Source organism: Homo sapiens, chromosome 6 (assembly GCF_000001405.40).
Source record: "Homo sapiens chromosome 6, GRCh38.p14 Primary Assembly".
NCBI classification, from domain to species: Eukaryota; Metazoa; Chordata; class Mammalia; order Primates; family Hominidae; genus Homo; species Homo sapiens.
In genome coordinates this window covers 158,682,446-158,709,607 of record NC_000006.12, presented here as the reverse complement: position 1 = coordinate 158,709,607, position 27,162 = coordinate 158,682,446, and the positions used below count along the sequence as shown (strand labels likewise).

At 46.0% G+C, this 27,162-nt stretch overlaps 1 protein-coding gene across 25 annotated transcripts in view, besides 4 other annotated features; it reads right to left on the bottom strand.

The window, feature by feature from the left end:
- Positions 1–27,162, bottom strand: part of SYTL3 (synaptotagmin like 3) — a 119,936-nt gene that overhangs the window by 55,264 nt on the left and 37,510 nt on the right. For 22 of the 25 annotated variants that reach the window (XM_006715606.4, XM_047419556.1, XM_011536254.3 and 19 more), the window contains 3 exons: positions 26,619–26,683; positions 2,327–2,378; positions 1,217–1,286 (listed from right to left, as the gene is read on the bottom strand). In XM_006715606.4, coding sequence (XP_006715669.1) covers positions 1,217–1,286; positions 2,327–2,378; positions 26,619–26,683 — 187 coding nt within the window. Of the gene's footprint in view, positions 1–1,216; positions 1,287–2,326; positions 2,379–5,075; positions 5,201–26,618; positions 26,684–27,162 lie in introns of those variants that run through there. The other 3 variants (XM_047419559.1, XM_047419562.1, XM_005267222.5) reach the window with 3 other exon arrangements.
- Positions 598–1,229: an enhancer, noted in NCBI's record as "H3K27ac-H3K4me1 hESC enhancer chr6:159129411-159130042 (GRCh37/hg19 assembly coordinates)". NCBI's record gives its function as "activates a minimal SCP1, AML or CMV promoter by ChIP-STARR-seq in primed H9 embryonic stem cells {active_cell/tissue: H9 hESC(primed)}" and the evidence as "EXISTENCE:reporter gene assay evidence [ECO:0000049][PMID:30033119]".
- Positions 1,230–1,861: an enhancer, noted in NCBI's record as "H3K27ac-H3K4me1 hESC enhancer chr6:159128779-159129410 (GRCh37/hg19 assembly coordinates)". NCBI's record gives its function as "activates a minimal SCP1, AML or CMV promoter by ChIP-STARR-seq in primed H9 embryonic stem cells {active_cell/tissue: H9 hESC(primed)}" and the evidence as "EXISTENCE:reporter gene assay evidence [ECO:0000049][PMID:30033119]".
- Positions 4,709–4,758: an enhancer, noted in NCBI's record as "active region_25359". NCBI's record gives its function as "activates an Ori minimal core promoter by ATAC-STARR-seq in GM12878 lymphoblastoid cells {active_cell/tissue: GM12878}" and the evidence as "EXISTENCE:reporter gene assay evidence [ECO:0000049][PMID:35858748]".
- Positions 22,365–22,565: a silencer, noted in NCBI's record as "peak6273 fragment used in MPRA reporter construct". NCBI's record gives its function as "represses an SCP1 promoter by STARR-seq MPRAs in K562 erythroleukemia cells {active_cell/tissue: K562}" and the evidence as "EXISTENCE:reporter gene assay evidence [ECO:0000049][PMID:32103011]".

The following is a 27,162-nucleotide window of genomic DNA, read 5'->3' as shown; positions in this document are numbered from 1 at the left end:
AATATATTTCCATGGCACTTTACGGTTTTCCAAGTACCAACACAGACATTATTTTGTTAATTTCTCACAACAGCCATACAAATATAGACGATATATACAAATATAGACACTCCCTGACTTACGATGGTTTGACTTACAATTTTCTGACTTGATGATGGTGTGAAAGCAATATATATTCAGTAGAAACCGTACTTTGCATTTTGATCTTTTCTATTTTGTATTATTAATAACATTTTTATTATTATAAAATAGGCTCTGCATTAAATGATTCTGCCCAACTGTAGGCTAACGCAAGTGTTCGGAGCACTTTTAAGGCAGGCTAGGCTATGCTATGATGTTTGGTAGGTTAGGTGTGTATTAAATACAATTTATTTTTTTTGAGATGGAGTCTTGCTCTGTTGCCCAGGCTGGAGGGCAGTGGCACTTGGCTCACTGCAACCTCCACCTCCAAGGCTCAAGCAATTCTCCTGCCTCAGCCTCCAGAGTAGCTGGGACTACAGGTGCCTGCCACCATGACCAGCTAATTTTTGTATTTTTAGTAGAGACAGGGTTTCACCATGTTGGCCAGGCTGGTCTCGAACTCCTATCCTCAAGTGACCCACCTCGGCCTCCCAAAGTGCTGGCGTGAGCCACCGCGCCTAGCTAAATATATTTTTGACTTACAGTATTTTCAATTTACTTTGGGCGTATTGGGACATAACCTCATCATAAGTCAAGCAGCACCTGTATAATTATTTCCACCTCTCAGGTGGGAAACCCAGGTAACTGCCCCAAGATCACACAGCTAATTTCTTTGGACAGAAATGGTGCTGGTCCACTGTACATCAGAGCCTGCAAACACTCAAAAGAGACACTCCCACTCACACACACGTTAACCAATCTTATTTCCCCTTAGACCCCAGAGACTCTACACACACGCCCAGCACAGAGCAGAGTTGGGGAAGGGGGCCGATGCCATGCCAAGAGTAAAGAGACCTCGGGTGCAGGCAGAAAGGGTCGCTGATGACACAGAGGGTCCCGCGACCAGAATGAGGAGAGAAGCTCTGCCCAGCCTGAGGGCCCTCGCTCCCCACCCCGCTTTGTGACCCGCTCCAGGCACAGTCAGATCCCTTTGCTGGGAGGTTCCGTGCCCGGCCTCAGCCTCGAAAGCTCCCCTGCTTCCTCTCCTTCTATCCCCTGACCCCTACTAGAGAAGTGCCCAGAATGGATACGTTACCCTGCCAGGACTGCGGCTGCACTGGCTCTCGCTGACAGGAGGTGGAGTAGGAGGAACCACAGAAATTTTGCTGCCAAGGAAAACACAGGCATAAGAAATGGGTTGTGAACCATGCAAGCCGTTAGTTTTACAAATACACAAAATGTGCCATTATTCTATAATTCTAGTTCTCCGCCTTTTTTTTAAACTGCCTCACTTTTTGGAAAAATAGCCAGCAGCCCTGCTTGGACCTGCTGCTCTACGAGGGGCATGATTTCCTGGTATCTATATGAGGGCGATGCTGCCTAAAGTCTGGGTACTCCGCCCCACTCAGTCATGTGTTCTGAAACAGCCTGGGTGCTCCGGCCTGGACCTGCCACCTGGCTGCGGGGAAACCCCTGGTTCCCATCTGCGCTCCCGTGTTCTCTTAGCACAAACCACACCAGCAGAAGCGCCAAAAATGTTGTGGATGTGAGAATCAACCACGAAGCAAACTGGAAGCTTGTGCTAAAAGAAATGGGAAAGAACAGGGGAGGAAAAAAATGAAAAAGTCTCGATATTGGAAAATTTCACCATGGGCCAAACAAAATAGCAGCTGGTGGGGAGCTTTCAGAAACACTTTAATAAATTGAGTGTAATCAGGTGTGTGAATTATGGCCAGCTTCATGACTGCTCAGTTTTTAGAATTTTGTGCAAAGAAGTTCACATCTCTCAGGCCATTATTCAATTCTATCAATGTTTATTTCACCAGTATCTCTAACGCGCCAGGCGCTGGGTAGGGTGTTAGAGATAGGCATGATTAATCAAAGCACATGCTTGCTTTAGAATTTCACTTAAGCGCAATTAAACATAATATTTAGTTTCCTTATAACACTTCAGGAGAATTTAAGAAGTAGAGCTGAATGTCTAGTGAGAAAATACTATGCTAACTAGAAGGTTTCTCATGAGAATCTGGAAACATCTCTGCTTTAATCTTTTTCAGGAACTTTATCTTTAAAAGAAAAAAAAAAAAAAGAGTCACATTCCAAAGCAGTGACATGTGAAAGTCAAGAGACCTATAAGTTCTTGCAGAGTGTCCTCTGCGCTCCTGCCCCGGAGGGCCAGGGACGGTCTGTCCTTTGTAACACTCACCTCAGCTTCTGATAAGATTGCAAGAGCTGCCCTCCAACTGTCTCATGTTTGCCTGCGAGAGATATCCATAGAGGGCGTTTATTATTAAGAATAGCACTTAGCTAATGTAAATACAGGAAATAGTAGATTAAAATTATTTTCTCTAGTATCATTTCTTGTGATTAAAAAGTAAGAGATCATTTTGAGGTGATAGAAATGTTCCAAAATTAGAGTGTAGAGATGGTTGTACAACTTTGTAAATTTACTCAAAATCATTGCATTGTAGACTGAAAAGACACATTTTATGTTATGGAAATTGTACTCTCCTAAAGTCATTTAAACATACACACACATTATGAAACCATAATTGTTGGGAATGACTACTTTTATTAAAAGTTGATATTGGATTAGATTTTCTAAATCTTCCATTCGTCCTTTGGAAACATTTCATAATGGAATGAATCTATTCCTGTAAGCTTGCCTTGTGATGAAGATTAAATTAATCTTTTAAAAACTGTAATCTACTTATTTCTAGTTACAGAGGCTAATAATTTCCTAAATAAGACTGCATCTGATATAGTACTCTTTTTGTTTCAAGAAAAGAGGTTTTTATGATGTGTTAAGACGCCAGAAATAAAACTCAGCATGTTCCCAGTTCTGTGAACACAGTGTTCCCTGGCCAAATGCATAGGAAGAGACCAGTCCTCGTCCAGCAGGGGGCTGGGAAGGAAGCAGCATTCTCCTGCTAAGGGAGGTTCCCAGAGGGCTCCACTCTGCCCAATACACAGACCAGAACACCGGGCCTGCCACCCTGGGAGGCAGTCTAGCTCCTGTGCCGAAGCTTGGGGGATTTCAGCCATTCCAAAAAAACCATTTACATATGGAAACATCACTTCCATAAGACCCACTGAAGGACACGGACAGTAAGAAAATCAGATGGGCTGGCCTTTGGGAGGGCAAATAGCATGTGATGTTAAGCTCTCAACACCAAGCCCCAAGCCTCAAAGGAAGAAGGCAGCCCCTAGATCAGGGTCCTTAGCCAGGCTGGCCATAGCGAGTGCAGGAGTCTTTGAAATCATGGCTAAAGTTCCGAGTCCACCTGCCTGTGTGCATTTTCTGGGGTTCATCTGGGGGACATCTGGCTTTCACAGGATTCTATAAGGCACCTGTGACCCTTCCCCTCCCCATTAAGAAATACTTCCCTAAGACAGAATGAAAAGGTACAACACAGTCTTGCCTGAAGCCCGGGCACTCAACTAGTAGGACCAGCTGGTCAGGGACCAAAGCTAGCACCTGCAGGAGCCCCCTGAGAGAAAACATCCAGGTCCAAGCAAAAAACAGCCTGACTGCAGTGTGCTGGCCATGGAAGCAAGAGAAAAACAGCCACGCTGCTCATCCTGCCCATCCTGGGGCGAGCACAGACCTGGGAGACAGCTGGTGCACAGCAGTCTGCGGGCGGCAATATACCACAGGGTGCTCCTGTCTCTGGATCCCCCTGCCCTATGTGGCCTTACAGCCATCACTGTCACCCTGTTCCTGGGTCCCCCATGCCCTACGTGGCCTTACAGCCCTCACCTATCACCCTGTCCCCAGGTCTATGTGACCTTACAGCCCTCACTGTCACCCTGTCCCCAGGTCTATGTGACCTTACAGCCCTCACTGTCACCCTGCCCCGAGTCCCTCCTGCTCTATGTGACTTTCCAGATCTCACTGTTACCCTGCCCCCAGGTCCCCCCCCGCTGCTCTATGTGACCTTACAGCCCTCAGTGTTACCCTGCCCCGGGTTCTTCCTGTCCTACGTGGCCTTATAGCCCTGTCACCCTGTCCCCAGGTCCCTCCTGCCCTATGTGACCTTACGGCCCTCAGTGTTACCCTGCCCCGGGTTCCTCCTGTCCTACGTGGCCTTACAGCCCTCACTGTCACCCTGCCCCGGGTCCCTCCTGCCCTATGTGGCCTTACAGCCCTCACTGTCACCCTGTCCCCAGGTCCCTCCTGCCCTATGTGGCCTTACAGCCCTCACTGTCACCCTGTCCCCAGGTCCCTCCTGCCCTATGTGGCCTTACAGCCCTCACTGTCACCCTGTCCCCAGGTCCCTCCTGCCCTATGTGGCCTTACAGCCCTCACTGTCACCCTGCCCTGGGTCCCTCCTGCCCTATGTGGCCTTACAGCCCTCACTGTCACCCTGTCCCCAGGTCCCTCCTGCCCTATGTGGCCTTATAGCCCTCACTGTCACCCTGCCCCGGGTCCCTCCTGCCCTATGTGGCCTTACAGCCCTCACTGTCACCCTGCCCCGGGTCCCTCCTGCCCTATGTGGCCTTACAGCCCTCACTGTCACCCTGCCCTGGGTCCCTCCTGCCCTATGTGGCCTTACAGCCCTCACTGTCACCCTGCCCTGGGTCCCTCCTGCCCTATGTGGCCTTACAGCCCTCACTGTCACCCTGCCCTGGGTCCCTCCTGCCCTATGTGGCCTTACAGCCCTCACTGTCACTCTGTCCCTGGTTGTGGCAACAGTATCCTGAGGCACAGTCACCAAAAAGCCACATCCCTCTTAGAGAATCTGAGGCTATCACACTACCACCTGGAACCCTTCAGTGACTCCCTATGGCGTGGTCTGAAGTCCAGGCCCACGTGGCTTCCGGGGTGCCCCACCCTGCGGGGTCACCCCTCCGCCTGCAGGCCTTGCCCTTTCACTCCAGCAAACCAATTGTCCCTTATTGCCCTGCCTACCCGGTGAGGCCGGCCCTGCCTGCACGATTACTGTCACCCCCACCTCGTCTCCTCCTGCTATCCCCCACGGGCAGTTCTGCCTCAGGTCCACATCTCAGACCCCAGCTAGGAAACCTCCGCTTCGGCCCGGGTCGCAAATCCCCCGCGTCCCCGCTGCGGCTCCTGCACGGACCGGGCGTGCGCGTGGCTTTCTGCTGCCCCCTGCCGGCTGCAGCGACGCGGGGCACAGGCGGGGCCTGGGTCAAGGCTGGAGAGGGAACGTTGCACTGTGCTGGCCCCAGGGAGGGGCCCGTCACAGCTGCTCAATTCCGCCCTATGACAGCAGCCACAGACAGTAATAAAGGGCAGGCGTGCCCGTTCCCACGAAACTTCATGGGCACTGAAATTTGAATGTGTCACAAAGATTATTCTTTTGTTTTTTTTTTTAACCATTTAAAAATGTAAAACCCGGCCAGGTGTGGTGGCTCACATCTGTAATCCCAGCACTTTGGGAGGCTGAGGCAGGCGGATCACTTGAGGCCAGAAGTTCGAGACTAGCCTGGCCAACATGATGAAACCTCGTCTCTACTAAAAATACAAAGATTAGCCTAGCCGGGCATGAGGTCACACGCTTGTAATCGCAGCTACTCGGGAGGCTGAACTCAAGAGGCAAAGGTTGCAGTGAGCCCAGATTACACCACTGCACTCCAGCCTGGGAGATAGAATGAGACTCCATCTCAAAATAATAATAATAATAATAATAATAATAATAATGATAATAATATAAAACCCACTCTTAGTTCACAGGACATATGAAAGCATGCAGGGGGACCCGCAGGTCCCACTCTGCCCCCTGCCTCACTGCCCCAGTTGTGGGCTGTTGCTCTCAGCAGGGCAGGGGTTGCTAGAGACACAGAGCCCCAGGCAGCCTCCAGCCTGCAGAGCCCCAATCCCATTGGAGCAAGATCCGGGCAGATTTGAGAACTCAAGGAAGTTGGAGCAGCACTGCCCTGTGTGGCTTTTACCAGCCCACTGTTGACTGTCATTTCACTTCTTCTCTTTGATTCCTCAGTTGTTTCTTCCTAGAAGCTTCCTTAAAGAGCCCTGAATTTTGACCTCTTGTTAACATGTCAGTATTCGCGCAAGGAGCTGTGAGATGCTCACAGACAGGCATCCCTCGAGAGGCAGGTGTTTTGGACCAAGGGCCCCCACCACCCTGCCCGGTCTGGCTGGCGAGTGACTTTAGCAGGGATACCCGTCTTTGCCAGGGACAGGAACAGCTGCAGGCCAGGGCCCAGGTCTGAGGCTGCCAGGGCTTGTCTCAGGCACATGGCTGGTTGGCAGCCGTGTCTGCCAGGCACGGCGCGGAGCATTTTGCACACATTTGCTGCTCGGGTGGTTGCCAGGTGTCATCCCAATTTTTTTTTTTTTTTTTTTTTTTTTAAGACAGAGTCTTGCTCTGTCGCCCAGGCTGGAGTACAGTGGCACGATCTTGGCTCACTGCAACCTCCGCCTCCCAGGTTCGAGTGATTCTCCTGCCTCAGCCTCCCAAGTAGCTGGAACTACAGGCGCCCGCCACCACACCTGGCTAATTTTTTGTATTTTTAGTAGAGATGGGGTTTCACCGTATTAGCCAGGATGGTCTCGATCTCCTGACCTTGTGATTCGTCCGCCTCGGCCTCCCAAGGTGCTGGGATTACAGGCGTGAGCCACTGTGCCAGGCCCCCAATTTTATAAATGAAAAGCGAGGCTCAGGGATAAGGTGTCATGGGCCCAAAGTCACAACGTCTACAAGTGACAAAACGGATTTTGTACCACAACTTGCCTAAAAAGCCTGCAGGAAGTCAGAAAAAGTGTACAAATATAACTTAGGGTGGGGAGCGGGTGGGGACAAGACCAAAACGGGGATAGTCGAGGGCTGTACAGACACGGGGTCACCGCTCTGCTTCTATTCGAACATTTTCCTAATACAAAGCCGGGGGGAAACGACCACCTGGAAACCAACAACCATGTCCCAGAAAGCTGAGTAACTTCTTTTCCCCCCCTCTTGTTTTTGAGACGGGGTTTTACTCTGTCACTCAGGCTGGAGTGCAGTGCTGTGATCATAGCTCACTGTAGCCTCTCACTCCAGGGCTCAAGCGATCCTCCCACATCAGCCTCCTCCAGGAGGCAGAAGAGACCACTTGAGGCCAGGAGTTTGAGACCAGCCTGGGTAACTTAGTGAGACTATGTCCTATAAAAAAAAAAAAATTTTTTTTTTTTTTTTTTTTGAGACAGAGTCTCACTCTTGTTGCCCAGGCTGGAGTACAATAGCGCGATCTTGGTTCACTGCAACCTCCGCCTCCCGGGTTCAAGTGATTCTCCTGCCTCAGCCTCCCAAGTAGCTGGGATTACAGGCGTGAGTTACCAGACCCAGCTAATTTTTTTTCTACAAAAAAAATTTTAAATGAGCTGGGCATGGTGGCATGTGCCTGCAGTGATCCTCCCATCCAGCTACTCAGGAGGCTGAGGTGGGAGGATAGCTTGAGCCCAGGACTGACAGGCTACAGTGAGCTATAATCGCAGCACTGCACTCCAGCCTGAGTGACAGAGTAAAACCCTGTCTCAAAAACAAGAAGGGAAGGGGGAATCTAGACACACAGGCAGATGGGCACAGAGGGGAGACAATGTGGAGACAGCCCCGTGACCATCAGGGCAGAGACTGGGGTAATTGCTGAGACCCACTAGAAGCAGGAAGAGGGAGGCAGCGTTCTACCCTAGCACCAGCAGAGGAAGCATGGCCCCACTGACACCTCAATTTCGGCCTACCAGCCTCCAGAACTGGGAGATGATACATTTCTGTTGTTGGAGGATCCCCAGGTTGTGGCACTCTGTTACTGCAGCCCCAGGAGGCAAATCCAGAGGCCGCGGGTGCTTGAGTGACTACCTGCCTCTCCACTGTCCCTTTCTGCCACCCCCATCTCCTTCGCTCAGCCCCAGTCAAACAGAGCCTCCCAGCTGCCTGTGCCCACTCCAGGCCTTGTGCCTCTCCCCACGCCTCCTCCCCCCCAGAACAGCTCTTCATCTACACCCCAGCTCACACTCCTCCATGACCCTCTCCCCATGGCTCCTCCCCCCAGACAGTCCTTCATGTACACCCCAGCTCACACTCCTCCATGACCCTCTTCCCACGGCTCCTCCCCCAGACAGCCCTTCATCTACACCCCAGCTCACACTCCTTCATCTACACCCCAGCTCACACTCCTTCATCTACACCCCAGCTCACACTCCTTCATCTACACCCCAGCTCACACTCCTTCATCTACACCCCAGCTCACACTCCTTCATCTACACCCCAGCTCACACTCCTTCATCTACACCCCAGCTCACACTCCTTCATCTACACCCCAGCTCACACTCCTTCATCTACACCCCAGCTCACCTCCTTCATCTACACCCCAGCTCACCTCCTCCATGACCCTTCTAAGAGTTCATTCACAGGGATTCCATGACTGTCCTCACCAGGCTGGCCCCATTGTGGTTACTGTGCACGCCTGCACTAAAACTCCTCTGACTCCACTGTAATCAATATGCATCTGTCTCTCCCCTTTTTGAGGACATGGCCTCATCTTCTGCATCTCGCTGTCCCTGGTACCCAGAAGAGGGCTTGCCATATAAGAGGTGGTGCTTATAAATACAACAGGCCAGGTGCGGTGGCTCATGCCTGTAATCCCAGCACCTTGGGAGGCCAAGGAGGGCAGATCATGAGGTCAGGAGATCGAGACCATCCTGGCTAACACAGTGAAACCCCGTCTCTACTAAAAGTACAAAAAATTAGCCGGCCGTGGTGGCGGGCACCTGTAGTCCCAGCTACTCAGGAGGCTGAGGCAGGAGAATGGCATGAACCCAGGAGGCGGACCTTGCAGTGAGCCAAGATCGCTCCACTGCACTCCAGCCTGGGCGACAGAGCAAGACTCCGTCTCAAAATACATACATACATACATACATACAACATCAGTAGCAACCAACACTATTTTAACAATAGCAGGAAGCATTACTTCATTTGAGCTGTACAACCAAATGTGTATTAACACAAGGTCATTGGTTTTGCACAATTTAGCTTACATGTAATTTCATTAATTCATTCACATTAATTAAGTGCAATACACACAGGTACTTCGAGAGAGATAAGAATAAGTGACGCCGGGTGTGGTGGCTCATACCTGTAATCCCAGCACTTTGGGAGGCTGAGGTGGGAGGACTGCTTGAGCCCAGGAGTTCAAGACCAGCCTGGATAACATAGCAAGATCCCATCTCTACAAAATAAAATGTTTTGTTTATTTGTTTATTTATTTATTTATGAGACAGAGTTTCGCTCTTGTTGCCCAGGCTGGAGTACAATGGTGCGATCTCGGCTCACCGCAACCTCTGCCTCCCGGGTTCAAGCAATTCTCCTGCCTCAGCCTCCCAAGTAGCTGGGATTACAGGCACGCACCACCACGCCTGGCTACTTTTGTATTTCTTAGTAGAGAAGGGGTTTCTCCATGTTGGTCAGGCTGGTCTCGAACTCCTGACCTCAGGTTATCTGCCCACCTCGGCCTCCCAAAGTGCTGGGATTGCAGGCGTGAGCCACTGCATCCAGCCTATTTATTTTTTATTATTCTTTTTTTTGAGACAGAATCTCACTCCATCACCCAGGCTGGAGTGCAGTGGCCCAAACCCAGCTCACCACAACCTTCGCGCCCCTGGTTCAAGCGATTCTTCTACCTCAGGCTCGGAGTAGCTGGGATAACAGGTGCACACCACCTCACCTGGCTAATTTTTGTATTTTTAGTAGTGATGGGGTTTCACTATGTTGGCCAAGGTGGTCTCGAACTCCTGAACTCAAGTGATCCTCCCACCTCAGCCTCCCAAAGTGCCGGGATTACAAGCATGAGCCACCACACCTGGCCCAATTTTTAAAAAATAAATAATAATAAAAAAAGAATAAGTGAGTCACAACCTCTACCCACAGCAGGGCTCACAGCACTGTGAGGATTCACACAAACTATAGATTGAGGCAGCGGGGAGTAAGATCCGCCGCGTGTGGCTCAAACACCAGTCCTGCCCCTGAAGCTGGCATGTCTGTGACAAGTCATTATCCATCTATGCATCCATTTCTCAGCCTAGAAATAATAGGGATGAAGCAGCTTATTTCAGCTACCGATACAAATCCCTATACATGGATGACCATCTCAAACTGGGCTCTGTCATGGTGTCAGTTGAGGACGCTAACCCCCAACCATACCAGTGCCCTGGACTGCAATTCCTGCAGCAGATGCGGGCCCTGTTGCTCCAACTCTTCTCTCCTGGGTGACTTGGTTCACGGGGAAAGAGGACACAGGGCAGACTCCCTGGAATGTCCCACAGTGACTCCATCAGCCCGCCAAGTCGTGTTGCTCGTAGCTGGCTGAGGGTTTTCAGGTCCTGAACTGCATCATCAGTGTGGTTAGGCCTCTTTCAAAGCAGGATCAGCAAATCCCTCCTCCACCGAAAGGCCCCACAGCAGCCCTGTGTGCAGAAGGTCATGCACACCCACACAGCATGGGTCACGCTGTGGGTGCTACAGACAGGCAGTCAGGAGAAAGGCGGCCTTCCCTCTGGCCACCTCTCTGCTGGTGCCTGTGGAGTGGGAATAACATCCTGTGTAAGAAACTATACCCTGGAGTTCCAAGTGCCACCAAAGAAAAGCACAGGTGGGGCTATCTAAACGGAGCCTCCATGGGAACTGGGCAAATGTGCCCCTTAACAGGCCTTATGCCCACCCCCAGGAAATCTGTCATAATATATGGATCTTGTCAGAACAATACACTTTGCTGTATCTGACATAAACAATCATCACAATCAATACACGATATAAGTGGGTATTTGAACAATATCCCCTTATACAAGTGGCTCCCTTGTGCAGTGTCCGACCTGTGCCACTGTAAGTCACAGTCCTGAGGGTTGACCCACACTGAAGTTTGAGTTTTCTCTAAATGCTAAAGAAAGGTGAGCAAAACCAGGGGTTAGAGTGGGTGTTGGACAACACAGTTTTAAACCAATCTATAGTTCACATATTCAAAATGGAAAATCTCTCTAAAAGTTTGACCTAAAAAAATCCCTCAGCATGTAAAGAATCATGATATCCAGTCACAAATGGTTTTAGAGCAGGAGTCCAGAGCCTTTTTTTTTTTTTTTTTGAGACAGAGTCTCACTCTGTCACCCAGGCTGGGGTGCAGTGGTGTGATCTCGGCTCACTGCAGCCTCTGCCTCCTGTGTTCAAGCGATTCTCCTGCCTCAGCCTCCTGTGTAGCTGGGATTACAGGTACCCACCACCACGTCTAGCTAATTTTTGTATTTTTAGTAGAGACGGGATTTTACCATGTTGGCCAGGCTGGTCTCCAATTCCTGACCTCAAGTGATCTGCCCGCCTCTGCCTTTCAAAGTGCTGAAATTACAGGCGTGAGCCACCACACCCAGCCCAGAGCCATTTTAAGCATATTTTAGTCCTTAGGAAAATTTGAGCTAAGATAGCACTGGCTCCAAGCCACTGTCCCAGGATGAAAGAAGACACAGAGCAGGACTGTGAATCAGCAACCAGTGCCTTCCAGGGAGCAACAATTACTAACAGAAGATTTACAATCCTGTGGACAAGAAGCATCCCCTATCCAGCATCCTTCTGCCACCAGACATTACTCTTCTGCTTAGTGACAGAAGAGAACAATACCTTTTCCCTTTAATGAAGCTACCCATGTCCTATCAGGCAGACACTCTGGGCAGTAAGTCTTCCACTGACATACACTCAAGGCCGAGGGTGACTGGTTCAGGTTTGGTGAGTACCTGGGGCAAGAAGGTCTAAACTGCTTTTCAGCATCCTTTGGATTTTCTCTAAAAAAAATGAATATAGGCTCTAGGAGCTCTCTATATATTCTAGATGTTAATCTCTTATCAGATATGTGATCTGAAAATATTTTCTCTCATTCTGTTGCTTACCTTTTTATTTTGTTAATAGTGTCCTTTGATGCACAAAAGTTTTTCATTTTGATGATGTCCAATTTTTCTATTTTTTATTTTGTTCCCTGTGCCTTTGCTGTCATAGCTAAGAAATCATTATCAGATCCAATGTCGTGAATCTTTCCCCCTGATTGATTGACTGATTTGAGACAGGGTCTTTGCTCCATCACCCAGGCTGGAGTGCAGTGGCGCGATCTTGGCTCACCATAGATTCAAATGATCCTCCCACCTCAGCCTCCCAAGTAGCTGGGACCACAGGCGTGGACCACCATGCTCAGCTAATTTTTTTTTTTTTTTTTTTTTTTCCGTAGAGATGGGGTTTCACCATGTTGTCTAGGCTGGTCTCGAACTCCTGGGGTCAAGCAATCCACCCACCTGGGCCTTCCAAAGTGCTGAAATTACAGGTGTAAGCCACCACGCCCAGCTTCCCCATTTTATTCTAAGAAAACAAGAGCTCTTATCTTTAGGTATTTGATGCATTTTGGGTTAATTTTTATATATGTTGTTAGGTAAGGGTCTGGCTTACCTTATTTCACTTAGCACTTGCTAAGTGAAATAAGGTAACTAAGAAAAAAGTTGGCTAAGAAATAAGCCAACTTTTTTCTTTTGTATGTGGATATCCAGTTTTCCCAGTGCCATTTGTTGAAAAAACTATCCTTTCCCTACTGAATGGTCTTAGCACCCTTCTCAAAAATCATTTGACCATATGTGCATGGCTTTATTTCTAGGCTTTCTATTCTATTCCATTGGTCTATATGTCCGTCTTTATATCAGTACCACACTGTTTTGATTACTGTAGCTTTGTAGTAAGTTTTGAGATCTGGAAGCGTGAGTCCTCCAGCTTTGTTCTTTTTTTGTTTTTAAGAAACAAAACAATCCAATTAAAAAAAAAGGCAAAGAACTTGAATAGACATTTCTCCAAAGATGATGTACAAATGGCCAATAAGCACATGAAAAGATGTTCAACATCACTAATTATTAGGGAAATGCAAATCAAAGCCACAACAAGATACCACTTCACACCCATTAGGGTGGCTACTATCAAGAAAATATAAAATAAGTGTTATAAAAATAAGTGTTGGCCAGGTGCGGTGGCTCACACCTGTAATCCCAGCACTTTGGGAGGCCGAGGCAGGCAGATCACGAGGTCAGGAGATGAAGACCATACTGGCCAACACAGTGAAACCCCATCTCTACTAAAATACAAAAAAAAAAAAAAATTAGGCGTGGTGGCATGCACCTGTAGTCCCAGCTACTCGGGAGGCTGAGACACGGGAATCGCTTGAACCCTGGAGGCAGAAATTGCAGTCAGCCGAGATAGCACCACTGTACTCCAGCCTGGCAACAGAGTGAGACTCCATCTCAAAAAAAAAAGTGTTAATAAAATAAGTGTTAGTGTGGTTGTGAAAAAATTGGAACCCTTGTGCATTGCTAGTGGGGAAGTATAATAAAATAGGGCAGCAGATGCTGAAAATTCCATGGCAGTTCCTCAATAAATTAAACATAGAATTACCATTTGATCCAGTAATTCCACTTCTGAGTATAAACACAAAAGGATTTAAAGCAGGAACTCTAATAAATATTTGTACACCAATGTTCCCAGCAGCATTATTCACAATGGTCAAGAGGTGGAAACAACCCAAATGTCCATCAGCAGATGAATGGATAAACAAAGCATGGTATATCCATGACACAGAATACTATTCATCCACAAAAAGGAATGAAATTCTGATACATGCTCTACAACATGAATGAACCCTGAGGAAATTTTGCTAAGTGAAATAAGCCAGATACAAAAGAACAAATACATTATGATTCCACTTATATGTGGTACCTAGAGTAGTCAAATTCATAAAGACAGAATGTAGGACAGTGGGGGAAGGGGAGGATGGAGAGTTATTGTTTAATGGGTTTCAATATAGCAGAATGAAAAAGCTCTAGAAACAGATGGTGGTGATGTTTGCATAACAATGCAAATATACTTAATGCCAATGAACTTAATGCTTAAAAGTGGCTAAAATGGCAAATTTTATATTGTGCATATTTTGCCACAATTTTAAAAATGAACATGAAGTTATTAAATTCAAAATTATTTCCTATTTAAGTATATATGTGTCTGCTCTTTTAAAAAATTATTCATATGAAGAGGTAGTTTAACAGCAGCAAATTACTCCCTAAAAACTAGTCTAATGAGTAATTTTGTCTAAACATATGAACACATGAATCCTTCATTCAGAAATCCCTTCAGTTCAATTACTTCACCTTGGTTTCCATGCTATTCATTGAAATAGGAAAAATAATGATGGGCATGAAAACGTTGTTGTATTTTATCAACTGATCTTCTAGAGTAGAGGTCAGCAAACTTTTTCTGTAAATTTTTTGGTAGAAAATTTCAGGCTTTGCCAGCCGTAAGGTCTCTGTTGCAACTACTCAACCTGTTGCAAAAGCAGCCATGGATATGAGAATGAGTGAACATGGCCTTGTTCCAATAAAACTTTATTTACAAAAGCAGGGTGATGGGCCAGATTTGGCTTGCAGGCTGTTGTTTGCCAACTCCCAAAAGAGCAGGGAGTATTTAGTAAAATAAAATATTGACGAACCTGATAACCAGCCCACCTAATCATGGTTCTTCCTCCATTCCAAAAACAGTGAATCAAAACCCAATGAAGCAAGTAAGTAGTGGAGTAGTCGTGACAATTCAGGACCAAGAAGTAGGCTGCCTAAAGTGACCTCATTATCATGGAGTGACGGACAGGGCTCAGAGGACATCAGGAGACATACAGACAAAGAAGCAGGCCTGGAAGGAACGCAGGCGCTCAGAAAGCATCGGGGAAACTCCAGTCATCCAGTTAAGATACTTGAGATACAAAAAATGTCTAGGTTAAATTCATGTATTCAAAGTGACTTGGACCTTCTAATCAATTCAATTTTTGTGTTGCTACTATGTGCAAAGCCAAAGGCATCATGAAATCAAAAATGAATAAAATCAGCCAGGTGCAGTGGCTCATGCCTGTAACCCCAGCATTTTGGGAGGCCGAGGTGGGCAGATCACTTGAGCCCAGGAGTTCAGGACCAGCCTGGGCAATATGGCAAAACCCCGTCTCTACTAAAAATAGAAAAACTAACTGGGCGTGGTGGTGTGCACCTGTGGTCCCAGTTACTTGGCAGGCTGAGAGGGAGGATTGCTTGATCCTAGGAGGCGGAGGTTGCAGCGAGCCAATATCACTCCACTGCACTCCAGCCTGGGTGACAGAGAGAAACTTCATCTCAAAAAAAGAAAAAAAAAAGAATAAAATCAAGAGCCTGTCTCAGGAAGATTATTATCTAGAAACACAGGGAGAAAGCAAAAAATTTTGAAGGGCAAGGTCTTATTACATTAATCATAAAATCTGATTTGATAGTCTTGGCTCTACTTAGTTTAAATGGACCTGTCTAAAAATCTCTGAGACACGAAAAGCAATCCAATCTGCTGGGAAAACACTACCAAGACACACACTTCTTTTAGTGGTGATGTGTTTATCTTTCCTCTTAAGGAGAGTAGTAACAAAATATTCAAGAATAGGATCCACCTTTCCTTTAAAATAAAAGCAGGCCAGGCACAGTGGCTTACGCCTACAGTCTTAGCAATTTGGGAGGCCAAGGCAGGTGGATCACTTGAACTCAGGAGTTCGAGACCAGCCTGGGCAACATGGCAAAACCCTGTATCTACAAAAAAAAAAAAAAAAAAGAAAAGAAAAAGAAAGGCTGGATGCAGTGGCACACCTGTAATCCCAGCACTTTTGGAGGCCGGCGCAGGTGGATCACTTGAGCTCAGGAGTTCGAGACCAGCCTGGGCAACACGGCAAAACCCTGTCTCTACCAAAAAGAAAGAAAGAAAGAAAGAAAACGAAAAGAAAGAAAGGCTGGATTCAGTGGCACACCTGTAATCCCAGCACTTTTGGAAGCTGAGGCAGGTGGATCATTTGAGGTCAGGAGTTTCAGACCAGCTTGGCCAACATGGTGAAACCCCATCTCTACTAAAAATGCAAAAGTCAGCTGGGTGTAGTGGCATGCACCTGTAATCTCCACTACTCAGGAGGCTGAGATAGGAGAATCGCTTGAAGGGAGGCAGAGGTTGCAGTGAGCCAAGATCGCACCACTGCACTCCAGCCTGGGTGACAGAGTGAGACTCCATGTCAGCAGAACAAAACAAAACAAATTAGCCAGGTGTAGTGGTGCATGCCTGTGATCCCAGCTACTTGGGGGGCTGAAGTGGGAGAATTTCTTGAGCCAAAGAACTTGAGGCTGCAGTGAGCCAAGATCCCGCCACTGTGCTCCAGGTTAGGTGACAAAATGAGACGCTGTCTCAAAAAAATAAAACAAAAGTCTATGTAAAATTTTTAAAATTTTTATCTGGGAAATAAACATGACTTCATAAAGACATCCTCTTAGGAGTATAAGCACACATAAACTATGGACTCCATTTGTAATTCAAAGAAAGCTTTACAGAATCATCCTTGTGGAATCCATTGGATGAATTGCAGGGATGAGGGGTGTTTACTGAGCAAACCAACGGAGAGGAGAGGCAGGCAGGGCACTGGGATAGAGTCAGCTACGTATTGACTGACACCTGCTTTTTTTTTTCTTTTTTTTGAGACGGAGTCTCGCTCTGTCGCCCAGGCTGGAGTGCAGTGGCACGATCTCGGCTTACTGCAACCTCCACCTCCCAGGTTCATGCCATTCTCCTGCCTCAGCCTGCCGAGTGGCTGGGACCACAGGCGCCCACCACCATGCCCGTCTAATTTTTTGTATTTTTTTTTTTTTTTTTTTAGTAGAGACGGGATTTCACCACGTTAGCCAAGATGGTCTCCATCTCCTGATCTCGTGATCCGCCCTCCTTGGCTTCCCAAAGTGCTGGGATTACAGGCGTGAGCCACCGCGCCCGGCCTGGCACCTGCTTCTTTTAATTCATGAGCCTGAGTGTTTCAAGCCCACACAGCCAATCTGATGCCGTCCTCATAACCCTGTGATGGGACGGATCATGTCTAAACTGCCCATGCAGAAGAATACAACTTAGAAAAGTCACTTGAAGAACTCAATCACGTTTACTGCTGGGAGGGAGGGATAAAGGTCATTTTCCTTCATAATTATAAGATACAATAATTAACCTGGTTAGTTACATGATGAATCATTGAGAGCATTATCAGAGGCTATGTTAAGCCTTAGCCTTTCTAAATTATTTTATTTCCCTAACTATTAGAAATACAGTGAAAGTCTGAGTAGACTGCTTATCTATTACATTTAACCCTTTTTTTTTTTTTTTTTTTTTTTTTTTTTTTTTTTTTTGAGACGGAGTCTCGCTCTGTCGCCCAGGCTGGAGTGCAGTGGCACAATCTGGGCTCACTGCAAGCTCCAGTTCCCAAGTTCCCACCATTCTCCTGCCTCAGCCTCCCAAGTAGCTGGGACTACAGGCGCCCGCCACCACGCCCGGCTAATTTTTGTGTATTTTTAGTAGAGACGGGGTTTCACCGTGTTAGCCAGGATGGTCTCGATCTCCTGACCTCGTGATCCGCCCGCCTCGGCCTCCCAAAGTGCTGGAATTACAGGCATTAAGAAATTACAACTATTTCTTAACTTAAGAAAGTTTAATATTGGCCGGGCGCGGTGGCTCACGCCTGTAATCCCAGCACTTTGGGAGGCCGAGGCGGGCCGATCACGAGGTCAGGAGATCGTGACCATCTTGGCTAACACGGTGAAACCCCGTCTCTACTAAAAATACAAAAAATTAGCCAGGCGTGGTGACAGGTGCCCGTAGTCCCAGCTACTCAGGAGGCTGAGGCAGGAGAATGGCGTGAACCCGGGAGGCGGAGCTTGCAGAGAGCCGAGATCACATCACTGCACTCCAGCCTGGGCGACAGAGCGAGACTCCGTCTCAAAAAAGAAAAAAAAAAGTTTAATATTAATATTGTCATCTTTCTGCTTTTAAGCTTGTACATCAAGTAACAGAATGTCATGGTTGTTAAAAAAAAGAAAAAAAGTAAAAGAGGTGCATTTACAGGGAGGAGCCAGAAGAGGGCATCATTTCTATACGCTTAGCAGATGCCAAAAGAGGAGAGATGAATTTTCAGCTTGTTTTCTAGTTATTAGTGATCTAAAAAAGTTCTATCATAATTGTTTACTAATTTTGTTACTTTACTTAAAGTACATTAAAAAAGTTACTTGGGGAACTGTTAAACAGTCACTTTTTTTTTTTTCTTTTGAGATGGAGTCTCAGTTGCTGCCCAGGCTGGATGCAGTGGCATGATCTTGGCTCACTGCAACCTCCGCCTCCCAGGTTCAAGCGATTCTCCTGCCTCAACCCCCCGAGCAGCTGGGATTACAAGCGTGTGTCACCATGTCCAGCTAATTTTTGTATTTTTATTAGAGACAGCGTTTCACCATGTTGACCAGGCTGGCCTCAAACTCCTGGCCTCAAACGATCCTCCCACCTCATCCTCCCAAAGTGCTGGGATTACAGGCATGAGCCACCGCCCTTAGCCAAACATTCACTCTTGAACCCCATCTGGCCCCACCAAATTAGAACCTGTGTGTGTGAGGCCAGGAAGGTTGAATTTGAATCAGTTTGCAGCTGATCCTGGAGCGTGGGTCCAGGAACCACATTAAAAACCCTCTGCACGGATTGCCAAATGCCCGTGGATGGAGGCACAGAAGGTGATGATGCCAGGTTGTCCTGGGGAGCTTCCTAAAGGCAAGAGAGCCTATGAAGGTCTGGGTGCTTTGATAATTCGAATGTACTACAGATGAACCACCACGGTGGCATCAAAGAAATTATTTTAAGACCACAAAACTAAATATCCAGTTATGAAATTTTAGGGGAAAAAGCCAGCCTATAATCAGAAAAATTTTTAAATAAATCAAAATATTTAAAATTTTTTGTACTATCGCTCTACAAAATGAAGAACTGAGGCTCATTTTTTCTTGTTTTTAAATTGTTTTAATAGTTGAAAAAATAGCACAACACATATTACCACAATTTATTATTCTTCACTAGATTCTTATAGCATGTCTACTTCCAAGGAAATCTGGGGGGCATTTTATCTTAAATTGCACATATCCAATAAGATCATCAAAAGAGAAATAAGTAAAAGCTAATAAAAAGGAAACTGGGTGCAGAGGGTGTAATGATTCCTGGAATTACTGCAACTGAATGTTACATTTAGCTTTAGGTTTCCCCGTGTCAAAAAGGGAAGGATGTCTACATTTGTAAGGTGCCTACTCAGTGCTGGGCACTGACAATGGACACTACTCCCTCTAACAGCACTTTTTGTGGCCAAATGAGCAGATCCCTGCTCAATTTATTTATTCACTTATTCCTTTACTCATAGCTCCTGCTCTCAAACATTCAAAATCTGGCTAGGGCCAAATTGCCAAGAGTTGCAGGTGAAGGAGAGGGCACCGTGTGTCCTCTATGAGACAGCACCCGCTGGAGCGCAGGGCTGGGCACAAGGAGAGTGGTGCCCCACGCTGTGCCAATCAGTGGCCCTGGGTTACAACGCAATGGGAAAGGGAATGGTTATGTAACAAATGGTACCAGGAACATCAAGGATTGGGAGGAAAAAAAATTAGATAGGGCCTCCTGATGATTGTAAAGAGTTAACATGGTGGCTCAGGCCTATAATCCCAGCACTTTGGGAGGCCAAGGCAGGCGAATCACTTGAGGCCAGGAGTTCAAGACCAGGCTGGCCAACATAATGAAACCCCGTCTCTACTAAAAATACAAAAATCAGCTGAGCATGGTGACATGTGCCTATAATCCCAGCTACTTGGGAGGCTGAGGCAGAAGAATCGCTTGAACCTAGGCGGTGGAGGTTGCAGTGAACCAAGATTGCGCCATGGTACTCCAGCCTGGGTGACAGAGTGAGACTCTGTCTCAAGGGGAAAAAAAAAAAAAAGTTAAGTAAAAATTAGAAGAAAATTAATGTGGATATTTAACCTATCACAGGATAAGGAAGAAGTCTCGAAGCATAAAAGCAAAAGAAATTATACGGGAAAAGGAGATTTGCCTACAAGCAAACAAAAAACTTCTTTGTGTTAAAAACAAAATTATAAAGAAGGCCATGTACTAGGAAGATAACATGCAACTAACATGATTGAAAAGGACTAATCGCCTTCACATACCAAGAACATCTACAGAAGGTTGAAAAGTGGAAGATACTCAATCTTATTCGTGATGAGATGAATTCAAATCAAAACGATGAGAAAACCATTTTGCATGACCAATGTTGTTTTGCCAAACTGATAAAGTTATCTATTGGTTTGCATGTTGGTTTATTTTTAAGGATAATTCCACACCCTTTCTAAAGGAGGCAACATTCCTAACCTTCATCTTGTTCTCTTTCTAGAAATATTCAGAGATGTGCCAAAAAGATATCTACAAGGATATTCTTTGCATTATTCTCATTTTAATAACCTTATAAACTTTCAAAAATGCAACAGAAAGCTGGAAATCCCCTAACTATCCAACAATAGTTATTTGGTTAAACAAATGATGACACATTCCTATGACGGGGTGAGATACACTCATCAGAAATCATATAGCCAATGATATTTATGGACACTGAAAATGTTCCTTATAAATTACTACATGAAGAAACATTAGGATAAAACTGTACATACAATTTGATTTCAATTATGTAAATATATTAGCCTGACTCATGTGAAATTGCCTCTATTCAATAATTTTTTGCCTAAAAATACCAATTTCTTATGGTTCAACCTAAATACTTCAAAAAAGTCTATGTATATGTGTGTATACACACACATATATCCACACATACAGATATGCACCCACAAGCATAGATACATACACTCACAAAAGAACAGAAATAATATATACTAAAATGTCAACAATTGTTCTCTGGGTGAAGCTGCTGTATTTTTAACATTGCTCTTTATGATTTTCTTCATTTTCTAGGTTTTAATTTTTTAATTTCATTTAATTTTTTTAGAGACAGGATCTCACTATGCTGCCCAGGCTAGTCTTGAACTCCTGGGCTCAAGCGATCCTCCTGCTTTGACCTCCCAAAATGCTGGGATTACAGGCATGAGCCACTGAGCCTGGCGTCTAGTTTTTTACGTGAATGTAATTTGAAATCATGCTTCAAAGCTCAGAATGTAATGGGGGCCAGAGTGTGGGAAGAAGGAAATTTGTGTACCCTGCCAGCCTGTTGTAAATAAGCACACACTCCCAGAGGGTAATTTGGCAAAACATCAAAAGCCTTTCAAGTATTCATACACTTGACCAATCATTCTTCTAAGAATTTACCCCCCAAAAATAAACAGACATGTCAAAATACCTGTACAAGACGTTCATCACAGAGTTATCTATAACATGAAAAATCAAATACAGTGATATACTCACAGACACTCGGGAACAGGTTAAATAAACTATAGTGCATATATTTGGTGTATTTTATGGAGTCATCAATACATTTTGGAAGAAGTCTTAATAACATAGGAAAATGTTTATGCCAAGTTGAATTGTAAAAGCAAAATAAAACCACATAGAGTCTGATCACAATACATTTGAAATTGGATAAGTCTATCTGTGCACACACATATACACAGGCTTACCTAGAAAGAAGGCTGGGAGTGTGCAGGTGTGTACACGTGCATGTAATTTACAGTAGTTTGGGATTGTGGTAGTATTTCCATTACATCTAAATACTATTCTGTGTTTCCCAAATGCTTGCAAGGTTTGCATTACTTCTGTAATCAGAAAGTAAGTAACTTCCTTTCAAAGAGAAAAGGAAGCTCCCTCTCTTCACAGAATAGAAGATGGACCAAGGGGGAAGCAGTTAGGAGCTGCTACGTTGGAAGTGAGAATGAAGGGCAGAGGAAGATTCCAGAGACTCAGGAGGCAGAAATGTCAGGATTTGCTGACTGACCAGATGTAGCGGCAGAATGAGGAACAAAGGAGTCAAGTTTGATTCTCAGGTCTGTGGATTTGGAGACAGAGTGAGAGGTGTCGCCATTCTCCCAAGACAAGGAACACAGGATTTGGTAGCACACAGACGGTCCCAGTGATTCTTGCTTCCTGATATTCAGACCCTTTGTCCTCTCTGACTAGGGCTGACCTGTGGGACCCATAGGGCATAGCAGAAATGACAGGGTGTGGCTTCTGAAGCTAGACCATAAAAGATATTGTGGGCTCTGCTTTTCTCTCTCTTGGATCACTTGCCCTGGGAGAAGCCAGCCGCCATGTCATGAGGACACTCAAGCAGCCCTGTGGAGATATCCCCATGGTGAGGAACCAAGTCCTCCTCCCAATACCAGCAGTCACTGGCCAGGTATGAGGGTAAGCCCCAAGAGCACAGATCCCCCAGCCCCAGGCGAGCCTTCCACTGAAGACAGAAACTGTCAAAGAATGTTACTTGATTTATGTCACTAGGTTTGAGGGGAATTTGCTATACAGCAATAGATAACCAGTGCGTGGAAAGAGGCACAGACTGGAGCTGTCTGTACACTTTTGTGGTTTAAACCACCATCTAGTTTTTCTAACTTCTGCTCAGGATATAGAGGGCTGGAAAGAGTATTGCCGGTACCATGACAACAAAAACACTAGAGAACATGCAAAACCACTTTTTCCGGAACACATCAGAGAATTGAGGTTGCAGTTGCCTCCCTATTAGGGTCCAGTGGGGGCTTCCAGAGGGAGACCAGGGCCAGGAGGAGGGAGAAGGGGCTCATGCCTTCCTTCCGACCTGTGTCTGGCCAGCATCAGCTCAACAGGGTCGGAGGGTGTCTGCCTCCTGCAGCTGCTAGCTCTGTTCTCTCACTATTCCCTTTTTGCCTCCAATTCCTGTCTAACCAATCCCTAAAGTAAATTCTTATTCAAATAACCAGACAGTTTCTATTTCCCTAAGTGGATCTTAACTGCTGCAGCACAAATTCAATTCAACTCCTCAATGACTGCACCTGGTTCTCTTTTAGGGCCACAAATAGGAGCGTGGTGGAATTCCTGCCTGTCCACCTAAACCTCTGTCACCTGATCCTTGTTACCTTTCCTGACGCACCCGCTGCAAACTCCACCCAACCTGGTCTGGCTCATAGCACTACTTGTGTGCTCCTAACCTGGCATTTTCCCCCATAGTTCCATGCCTCTTACCCCAACTCTACTGAAACAGGACAATGGGAAAATGAGGCACCCTGGCATTTGAGGAAGCATTGTAGAGAAGGAGGGAAAGTTAGGGCTTTTCTGGTGTTTATTTTATACATTGATAGAAACGACATCAGCAAAAAAGAATGATTTATGCTGAGGTTGATCTTCCTGACCCTGGTTTGTTTGTCCTTACTGAAGTTTTTATTCTTAAAGTTATAAGGCAAGAAAGAAAACCCTAAGACATCAGTCTCACCTCTTTCCTAATTCCCTTTTTATCTTAAGTCACCTTGATAACATACTTCTCCCACTCACTCAGGAGACATGAAGTGCTGAAAAGATGACAAGATGGTAACGTGTGTGCACAAACACACACACATACATTCATGCACACATGAAAACTACTTACCTGAAATAATGATGCTAGAACTTCTAACGACGTAGAAAACTTTTTGAGTGAAGCAGATGTCTGCACTTAGCTGGCATTGAGAAATGACAAACTTCACCTCCTACAGCACTACTGTTTATAAGCTAGGAATTGATGTGGAAAAGGGTAGAGTCTACCTTCTGAAGAAGGCTCCAGCCCACCAACAAAAAGGTTTTGTTTTTGTTTGTTTGTTTGTTTTTGAGATGGAGTTTCACTCTTGTTGCCCAGGCTGGAGTGCCATGGCATGATCTCGGCTCACAGCAACCTCCGCCTCCCAGCTTTAAGCAATTCTCCTGCCTCAGCCTCCCGAGTAGCTGGGATTACAGGCAGGTGCCACCATGCCCGGCTAATTTTGTATTTTTAGTAGAGACGGGGTTTCTCCATGTTGGTCAGGCTGGTCTCGAACTCCCAATCTCAGATGATCTGCCCACCTCGGCCTCCCAAAGTGCTGGGATTACAAGTGTGAGCCACCGGGCCCGGTCAAAAAAGTATTTTAAAGAAACACAAAAGTGGCCGGGTGAAGTGCCTCATACCTGTAATCCCAGCACTTTGGGAGGCCAAGGTGGGCAGATCACTTGAGGTCAGGAGTTCAAGACCAGTCAACAAGGTGAAACTCCATCTCTACTAAAAATACAAAAATTAGTCAGACATGGGGCGTGTGCCTGTAATCCCAGCTATTCAGGAGGCTGAGGCAGGAGAATCCCTTGAACCCAGGAGGAGGAGTTTACAGTGAGCTGAGATCATGCTACTGCACTCCAGCCTGGATGACAGAACGAGACTCCATCTAAAAAAAAAAAAAAAAGAGAGAGAGAGAGAGACATAAAAGCAATAAAAACAGAGAAAAGTCCTGTGCTGCAGTTGCTTTGCCAAGGTCACACATTCCACATGGGATGACGGCACCCCTAAGGGGACAAAGATTGGTAGCAAATCTTACCTATTTCAACCGTCTGTGGCTCTCCAAAAGGCCTCAGTACATAGATATATGATATCTGTGATATCAAAAGGTTATGGTAGCAACTTTGAAAAAGTCTCTAAAAAGGCTATGTGGGGTAGGGGAGAGGGTGGCGGTAAGAAGCTGTTGAGAAACACTGGCTTAGAGGAAACAGCAACCCTGCTTCATTCCATTGCCTGACATGACCCTTAGTATTAGTTTTTTCCTCCAGGTTTCCAATAAACTTGGCAGAAGCAGCGTTTTTTTTTTTTTTTTTAAGAAGAGCCAGGAATATAAACCATGGGATAATTTAGTACCAACCAAATCTACACCTGGGCAAATCCACCCTTTATAAAAGCTGAATATCAACCCAAATGAATGGCTTCCTTTACTGCCAACAAACTTTTGGGTGAGGTTCTATGGCTTATTTCCCTACCTGCAAATTGCCACTTTTTCTAGAAAAGAGCCACCGCTGCCCTCTGAGTCAGGCTGTGAGTCTAGGTCCCCAACATCACATCACAGAGGAGGGGTGCTGCCCGCATCCCTGATATAGTCAGATGTGGTTCCCACAGCACCTGCCTGCACTCCACCGTGACGGTGCCTGTGTGCGCCTTTGTCCTGATGCCCCATCACAGCTCTTCTGTGATCAAAGCACAAATCATTCTCTCCACAGTTCCAGGTCCCAGCTACCAATTACACTGGCACAACATACATTGCAAATACTTTTGAAAAAGAAAATAAACTTTTAATCTAAGAAACACAAGCCTCCTTTAAAGTATCAGGCCTAGAGAGACACCGAAATGAGCCCGCAATCACGTCCCCCAACTTGGGCTAATCATTTCAAAGCCACTTGCTCTACGGACTCTAGATTGAGTGTCACCACCAATAGCCATAAATTATCCTAACAATGCCACACACTGGACACCATCACCCACAGCCTATAGCTCAGCAATGGATAGCCAATCATGAATCATGAATAAATTACGGGTATTTCCGTAAACCCACGAGAATTCCTGAAAACCAGCTTTTGTAATCGCCCCTCTCCTGATTCACCCTTCTCTCCTTTGTTCTCCAGAGCCCTTGGAAGTGTTTCCTGGGCTGCAGACCTCAGCCTTGGCCCAGATAAACTCTCCACCTGTATTAGTTTTGCCTCAGTTTCCTTCTTTAGGTCAACATCTCATTATAAGACATTCACAGTATACGGACAAAATGCTTCCACCCATATTACCGCAACATGCGCTCACTCCACAAGCATCAACCTCTGCTCAGTTCAAACGCTCTTCACTCACTGTGGTCTTCACTGATTCAATCATCTTGCTCAAGTATTATAAACAAGGTATTGTGCTTTGGCGCAATATGGGCTAACAAGATTTTAAAATCACAGTTACTGCTTGTAGAGAGAAACAGAAGTGCACAAACAATGCTACAATATAAGGAACTTTGCAACAATTACAGAAGAGAATTACAAACCCAGCACTGATGGTGTTTCAGAGGAGGGGACATCACCCCTAGAAGCAGGAAGCCAGGGAAACCTTGTAGTGCACGAGCCTTAAAGAATGGGGCCAACCTGGCCGGGCCCAGTGGCTCACGCCTGTAATCCCAGCACCTTGGGAGGCCGAGGCGGGCGGATCATGAGGTCAGGAGATCGAGACCATCCTGGCCAACATGGTGAAACCCCGTCTCTACTAAAAATAGAAAAATTAGCCGACTGTGGTGGCACGTGCCTGTAATCCCAGGTACTCCGGAGGCTGAGGCAGGAGAATCGTTTAAACCTAGGAGATGGAGGTTGCAGTGAGCCGAGATTGTGCCACTGCACTCCAGCCTGGCAACAGAGCAAGACTTCGCCTCAAAAAAAAAAAAAAAAAAAAAAAAGGAATAGGGCCAACCTCAGAGGTAGAAATGCAGCAGAGGGAAGAGTAGCGAGCAGAGGGAATGAGCAGCGTGAATTACAGTGAGAGCATCAGCAAATGGAATGGCAAGACATAGGGGCCCGCAGACTACACCCATCATGTTGCTTATATTCCAAAGTCTTAACATCAAATATTTTAAAACTAGGAATAGATCATTTTACTTTACTAAAAAAGTAAAGAGCATTTACCTCCAGTTGGAAATTTCTTGGCTCGTTCCTCATAGAACCATTCTCCAGTTTTTATTTTGACATTCCTGAAAAAATGAGCAGAAAGGAAGCTTCAGAGAGAGAAGATATGAATAGTGCTATATTTACCCCTTTTAAGGGTTAGGTAAGGTCACAAAATATTAGTCTTGCAATGGACCTCAGCAATCAATTTCCTGGCTTAAACACTTAAATTTACAGATTCCCCATAGAGGCGAAGTGATTTCAGTATCAGCAGCAAAGCTGTGCAACTCCCACCGCTATGTGTTTTATCTTGCATGTCATGTGTACGTTCAATGTATAATATGTGAATATGGGCTAGGTGTGGTGGCTCATGCCTGTAATCCCAGCACTTTGGGAGGCCGAGGCAGGCGGATCACGAGGTCAGGAGATCAAGACCATCCTGGCTAACACGGTGAAACCCCGTCTGTACTAAAAATACAAAAAATTAGCCAGGCATGGTGGCGGGCACCTGTAGTCCCAGCTACTCGGGAGGCTGAGGCAGGAGAATGGCGTGAACCCGGGAGGT